The sequence below is a fragment of the Homo sapiens genome, chromosome 18 (genome assembly GCF_000001405.40).
Source record: "Homo sapiens chromosome 18, GRCh38.p14 Primary Assembly".
NCBI classification, from domain to species: domain Eukaryota; kingdom Metazoa; phylum Chordata; class Mammalia; order Primates; family Hominidae; genus Homo; species Homo sapiens.
In genome coordinates, this window is record NC_000018.10 from 78,928,999 (window position 1) to 78,936,626 (window position 7,628).

Sequence of the window (7,628 nt, forward strand, 5' to 3'; positions counted from 1 at the left end):
TCCAAGTCTTCCTTACACCAGAGCCATGCTGCCATGACGACTGTACTTCCTAGAACATTTTGAAATCAGGAAGAGCGACCCTTCAATTTTGTTCTTCTTTTTCAAGCTGATTTTGGCTCTTCTAAGTCTCTTTCTTTTCCATGTGAATTTGAGCATTGACGTGTGAATATCTCTAAAGAAGCACAGGGATTTTGATTTCCTGGAATTCTTGGTCTTCTTTAACTCGACACCAGTTATCGGCAGGCAGGTGCTGAGAATGCGCAGAGCAGTGGGGTAGAAAGACCATGATAGAGAGGAGGGGAGTGGAGTGGAGACGTTGGGGTGGGGGGGGACCAAGGTCAGTTACATGATGGTCACCGTCACTTTAGCAAATAGTGGCAATGGGGGATTTTGTTGTTTCTAAAACTCCTTTGTTTATCCTATAACCCCTTCATCCTTTAAACTAGACCTCAGCCCCCATACCTCAGAAAAAGGAGGCCGCAGGATAAATGGAAAAAGAATCAAAAATGACTCAGCAGCCAGGTGTCATGGCTCACGCCTGTAATCCCAGCGCTTAGCGGGGCCAAGGCAGGCGGATCACTTGAGGCCCAGAGTTGGAGACCAGTCTGGGCAACGTGGCAAAACCACTTCTCTACAAAAGGCATTAAAATTAGCCAGGCGTGGTGGTGTGCACCTGTGGTCCCATCTACTCAGGAGGCTGAGGCGGGAGGGTGGCTTGAGCCCGGGAAGCGGAACGTGTAATGATCCAAGATCGTGCCCCTGCATTCCACCCTGGGCGACAGAGCGAGACTCTGTCAAAAAAAAAAAAAAAAAAAAAGACTCAGGAATAAAAAGGAGCAAGCAGTGACATGTGTGACCACGAAGGTGACTCCCTAAAGCATGTAGCACAAAAGCCAAACACAAAGAAGGCCGCACACGTGATTCCACACATACATGATATGTACGTACAGGTGATGCCGGCTGACAACAACAGGAGGGAGACATGGGGAAGGAAGGTTACATGTCAACCTGACAGACACAATGAAAGAATACAAACGATACACAGATTTCTGCTTTATTTTGTATAGCCGTGAGCTAAAGCCTTAACATAATAACCTAACTCATTGTTATTAATTCCATTTCTGTTTCTTAAAAATGTTCACAAGGAGAATCACTGTTCATAGAATCCCTGTTCAAAAGAGCAGAACCATGCTGCTTAGATGATGCCAGAAACCGTCTCCTGTGGTCACGGATGTCCAGGGAAGCAGAAGCTGGGAAGAAAAATCTCTCATTCCAATAGAATAGAATAGTCAACTGGGAATTCCAATAGAACAGAACAGTCAACTGAGATCTCTAAAAGAAAGGTGTGTGAGACACACAGACTGCGAATCTTAGCAAGGAGTGTGCCACAGAGGAGTCAGGGCTCCTAAAAATAATACCAGCCTAAATAATGTCTTCACATGACACAGATAGGTATAGAGACAGAGGCAGAGAGAGACGTGGAGGTGATATAGATACGGGTATGGATTATTGATTTGGATATAGACTGGATATAGGCACACAGACATGAATGTGTCTAACGGAACTGTTCAGCCTTGTGTTTGCTAAATCTTTGTATGCTACAAAATATTTTCCTTCCTTTTGATCTGATTCATACATGAATATCAAACTAGTACGCCCCCATGTCACAAAACTCTCAAAGAATGATCTAATGCGATTAAAAGGAGCAAGGAGGGAGCCGCTGGGACGTCGCACCTGCCGCCCCGTGAGTTATTGGCCTCTTAAATGTCTACAGCCCACCCCGTCATCGAGCCCCTGTATTTACCCTTAAGGCACTTCACAGCTGCTGAATGGCTGTCTATGGCAGTTTGGTGGAAACAATAATAATACATTATAAATCAATGAAAATGAAGTTTTGCTGTGATAATCGGATATAGATTTGCCAACATTTGTATGAAATTCAATTCTGTTTGATTGCATCAGCATATGCTGTGTGGCACTGCTAGCACTATTGATTTGAAGGTTCTTATCCATATGTCTAAATTATTTCTATTACATCTTTGCATTACTGTTTAGAAATAACCTGGGTAAACCGAAGCCATTTATTCCATTTTCAGTGGTATTTTCTTCTGATTCTAGTTAAATGCTCAGGTCTGTATTTTGAATGGAAAGAAATGCCTTTTTTTTCAGTCCTCCTTTCTTTAACAACAGCTAATGCTAAGCTATAATGGTAATGTGCCTATTTCCATGTTTAACATTCATTGTTGTCATTATTGTTATTATTTTCATTGTTATCTTTTTCTGAGAGCATCTGACTGTTATGATGGGTCAGATTTTCAAATAGCACTTTAAATGATTCCAGACGCTACAGCTACACATTAATCTTCTTTTAAAAAAAATACGGTTGTGCGTCTTACTGAGGACAATTAATCAGTGAAAATACTGAATTTCCGACACAGAGTCGAAAAGAAAAGGAAACCAAAGGGGCAACCTCTTGTATCTGTCTAGTGCTTTATAGTTTCGAAAACTCTTTGGCTACCTTTAGCTCATCTGACATAACATCCTTTAGGATAGATGGACCAGGCTTGGTTACCCCCATTTTGAAGTGGGGAGGAAGGCCCATTAGTGTGAGGATTTGGGCTACAGCTCAGGTCTACAGATTTCTGCCCAGGAAAATCCCCACCTCGGCTCGCAGACCCAGTTTTCCTTCACTCCGAATCTTCAGTTAATATTACCTTATGGGGCGGGAACGAGAAGTTAATATATTCACTTAATGAGGCTTTTCTGCTTTAAAATGAAATTGATTTCTAAATAAGCGCACCCAGAAGTTAGCCTACCATATGGCTTTAAAATATTTCAGAGTCTTCGGTTTTTTTAAGGTTGCATGATGATTCCTCGCCCAATAGTGACATTTTCCCTCAAACTGCACCTGCCGTCTTTTATAATGGAACTTATGTATTGTAAATAAAGCAACTATTTCAACTTCAACAATAGCCCTTTACAATGAGAATAAATCACAGTGCTGTAATCAGCACACCCAAGCCCACCACAACTCCAAAAGTAGAAGAAACATTCTCTCCCTTTAGAGATTATTTCAGCAATCCCTGCACATACTTTAAATTTGTATTTACACATGAGACAAAATCACTACTGTGAATCACAAATCACCTTAGAAGATGACTTTGTATCTCCGCTGAGTAGATTCTACCTGCAAATGGGAATAGGTAGCACACAGTCATTTTTAACAACACACAATACAAAAAGTTAATTTGCTTTTACTTTCTACTGCATTAGTGCTTTCCTTTTCGCACCATGACCCTTTATTTTTAAGTAAGTACTCTTAGGTGGGGGAAAAAGCAACCACAGATACAGCTGCTAAGTCGACACGTGCCTCTGCGCCTCCACAGGGCAGTGTGAGTCCCGGAGCCCAAGCGAGACAAATGCAGCCAGGGCAGAACAATGGCCGGACCCCAGCATCTGAGCAGCTCGGCAGAAATGGCCCAGGACAGATGGCTGTCTCCTCCAGTCTTACACACCTCCAGGGACAGGGAGCCTCGGAGCTCCTAGCAACGTGCTATGAGGTTAAATAAACCGTTTCACCTGGGCTTCCTGGAGCTCTAGAACTTAGTAGAAAGTGTTCAGGAGGCCCTGAGATATCGACGCACATAACACGCCTCTGAGTCCACCCCTCCCTTGCCTGTCATGACTGTGATTGCCAATAGAATTGGGGTTGGGGGTGACGGGCCTTAATTTCATTTGATGACAAGGCATTAATTTCTTTGCAAAATAAATAGCTTTGGCAAGCCACATTTTTAAAAGTCGTGCGTTAACTTTATTTAACTGAAATTTAACCCCAATCAAATCGGGCCGCAGTGCACACACAGGCACCTTCTGTGAGTGATCACCAGGGATTACTTGAGCAACAACAGGTCCCTTTAATTGATTTTAACAAATGGAGCTTTCAGATTAAAGATATGCTGCTTAAAAAGCAAGAGCTCCAAATTCCACATCAGATTTTTAGTCTCAGGTGTTCGTTTATAACATGATTAACAGCTATCTTTATTTCATAGTCCAATGTTGACCCTGAAGATTTTAATGTAAGTCCCATTTAAAGTCTAATTTATACCACTTCGGATTCAGCTTCATACTTTACCAAAACCCTTGTTAAAGAGAACTTTACGTCGTGGTTTTACAAATCATTTTCACACTGAACTCCACTCACACGATACAGAGTTACCAGCCAGCTGTTCCAATAGACTATCACCAACATGTTAGAGATGACACTAGTGTGGCCAATGCAAGCGTGTGTGAACGAGCCGGCTCTGTGCACGGCACATTTCATATCACTGCTTTCCTCTTTTTACAAAATTAAAGACGAAGTACAGAAACAGAACTTTCATATCATAAAAGCCAGAACTCATGGAGCTGGAAAATAAACACATCCCAAATATTGGGCTCCCGAATTGCCCTTCATTTTTTTGTACACGTAGCTATCCAGACAAGGTCCCCTGTTGACAACCTGTACATTTCCTGCTCCGAAATGAAACGGAGGGCTTGTGTCACATACATCTGTGAGCAGAATCTCCCAGGAACGGCATTCGAGATGAAACACGCATGGGTCTTCTGAAGAAAGACCTAATAGCTACGGGAAACTGGCTTTTTATAGGGATTTGAATACCTTGCAATTAAAATTGCTTAAAGTAAGAGAGTTGTGTGTGCGTGATTTTAAAAATGTCATCTCTCACCTATTCTGGAAGTTTCTGGTTTTGCTGTGCGGCCCACTGCTCTTGAACATCCCGGGACCTTTGTCACTCTCCTGTGACAACCAAAATGTGGCTGAGCTGAGCCATTACCGCATCACTGTTTCTTTTTCCAAAATCCCTCCAGGCCCAGGGTCCCATCGCGTGCAGTCCCTGCTGTGCTACACACTCACCTTGGATCGACGTCTTTGAAGCCTCCGGGGGCTGCATGTGTAGCGGAACAGGCGATGCTGAAGTCTTCCTCAGTGACTTCTCTGAAAAGCGAGCGTTCCACGTTGCCCGGCACCCACGACTCTGAGACTGTTTTCTTAAGGATCATCTAAGTGCAATCTAGTGATGGCGCCCACGCCTCGACGTGCTCACCCACCCGCATGTTTACTCCTGGACGTCCAGGGGAGGAGCTGAGAGTGGAACGTCCATCGCCCGTGGGGCCATCCGGGGATCTCGGCTTTGGAACGTGCTCATCCACCTGCATGTTTACTCCTGAAAGTCCAGGGAAGCTGAGAGTGGAGCATCCATCGCCCATGGGGCCACCCAGGGGTCTTGGCTTTGGAACGTGCTTCTGGAAGCCAGTGGCGGTGTCCCCACGCAGAGCCACTGACCGGACGTGAGCCTCAGGGTGCTATCTGTCTGGGGCCTGGCAGCATGGTGTGGCCACAGGACCCACGGTGACAGGAGGCGATGGCAGGGAGCGAGCGCACCATCTCCTTAAGCAAATCAAGTCAGCAGGGCTGTGGAGAGCAGGGTGGCGAGAATCCGAGCGCCGAACTCCTGGGATTCTGTTTCTCACTCTGCTTGTCTCCATTTCCACCACAACGTAAGAGAAACCATATTATTAAAATGACCCACATTAGCCTCTATGTTTTGTCAAATTTCATCACACTCCCTCAGAAGGCTGGAAGTGGAAAGGGGCGTTGGAATCGCAGCAGCGTCAGGCGTGTGGGCTGAGACAGGTTCAGCCTCACAGGCCCTGACCAGGGTGAGGACAGCAGGTGCCACTGAGGCAGCCACATCTGGGACGGCACCAAATGCCGCCTCCTCAGGCACTCTGCCACCGCTGTTGTGTTGTGCTGTGTTGTGGCTTCCTGGGGGTGAGGAGGTGGAGGTTCTTTTGTTCGTTTAAGGAAGAAAATGATAAAGTGAAGCTTTGGTTCTCCTCCCTGTAGACTTTGCAGCCAGACTCTTCGATGAAAAACTGTCCTGGCAGTTTGCAGCGACTTTAACGGAACATGCTGATGGGGCTACCTACACCTTGGACACTTTTCCCTCAGCCCGGCCTGTTTTCCTGTTTCTCACATGCGCTTTCTCACTTTCCAGCAGCCTCTTTCTCCTTTTTCAATCTCTCCTGTCTGGCCTTCCATTGTTATTCAGCCTGCTCATTGCTGCGGGCAGCCCGGACGTACTGGCCATCATCTGAAACCACAAACGACAGCGCGCAATAAGCTGGAGAAAGCAGCAATCTAGGAAAGTTCTTCATTCACTCTTGTTCCTAACTCTCTGTCTTCTTATCCTACACAGAAAATAAAAAAATCAATACCGCCTCACAAGGCTTGATAAAAGTGCCGGCTGAGTACAGCAGGCATGCTGGATATAGTAAATTAAAGTGATCAAAACTTTCCAGTCGACTCTGCCTATAGCCCACATAAACTAACAGCCCTGTCTGTCGGATGCCCATCAGCTGGAAGCTTTATTTTATCGGTGCCTCTGATTATCTGGGGAACGAATACATAGGCCTGCTTGGGTCCAGGAGTCCCTGTGTCCGTGTGTGAACATGGGTGGCCCTGGGAGAAATTCCACGGCGAGCCGAGAACAGAGCCAGCAGTCTCCCAGGGGTGCATGTGGGTAGACGGGTGGGTGCCAACATGAGGACTTGCAGGCTTTGGCTCAGACATGGGGAGGGAGAAGCACCGGGCGGGAGACTGGGGGCTGGCCAGACTGTGCCCAGCCCTGCCCTGTGAGCCAGTGACCTTGGGTGAGTGACTTGGCCTCAGGAAGCTGAGTGGTTTTGTCTGCACAACAGCTGCAGTGATGGTGACAACAAAGGGACAGTATCACAAACCTCAGGTGGAGGTGTGAGAATCGTGAAGCAATGTCTACAAAACCCCTTCAGTGTGGTGAGTGCTCGCACAATGTGTGAGCAGGTGCGCACACACATACACACACACACACGCACCATAAGAAACTGAAATCTGGTATGCTTTTCATCTCCGTAAGAGACAATTTTCCATCTAGGTAAACAAATCAGCATTCAGCGTGCATATTCCTAACAGACCAAATTATGAATAAATGTCATTTCAATAGCAGCTTTTTCTATACCATTTACCAACATAGAAATAAACATTTCATTTAGCTTTAGAGTGCAATTCGAATTAACTTGACTAAAATCCACTGGGCTGCCTTCAGTGAGAGATGGAATATCTCTGCCATCTACAATGACAGCCGAGAAATCACTGGCATCACTACCATTAGCCCAATTCTCCCATCAAAACCCGTGACCCTAGCTAAGTAACTGACATTTGTCCAATGCTGGAAATGAACTAATAGTTTCCATCGACCATCAGAGAAATGAAAAAGGAACCAGAGCAAATCAGCACGCCCTGGCCAGGGCAGAGAAATCAGGGATGGCCGCCAGGCAGCGCGGGAGCACAGGTGCAGCTAACGGCCAAATTCCACCCGTGAGCACACACGCACGCTTCCAGGTCCACACCATGGGCCCAGACTGCCTCGGAGATCAAAGAATAAACTCAGGTATCTACGTTAGCTGCCTGGCCTTAGTGGGGCTCACACTCCGCCAAGAGTTTCCAGCTGCAAGGATGACCAGGCCCAGCCTGGGACCTGAGTGTCTGTGGAGGCAGAAGCAGGGCTGCTTTGCTGGCACAGGCCGAGAGC

General features: G+C 46.2%; 2 annotated features.

The window, feature by feature from the left end:
• Positions 5,207-6,175: an enhancer, noted in NCBI's record as "H3K4me1 hESC enhancer chr18:76694205-76695173 (GRCh37/hg19 assembly coordinates)". NCBI's record gives its function as "activates a minimal SCP1, AML or CMV promoter by ChIP-STARR-seq in primed H9 embryonic stem cells {active_cell/tissue: H9 hESC(primed)}" and the evidence as "EXISTENCE:reporter gene assay evidence [ECO:0000049][PMID:30033119]".
• Positions 6,176-7,143: an enhancer, noted in NCBI's record as "H3K4me1 hESC enhancer chr18:76695174-76696141 (GRCh37/hg19 assembly coordinates)". NCBI's record gives its function as "activates a minimal SCP1, AML or CMV promoter by ChIP-STARR-seq in primed H9 embryonic stem cells {active_cell/tissue: H9 hESC(primed)}" and the evidence as "EXISTENCE:reporter gene assay evidence [ECO:0000049][PMID:30033119]".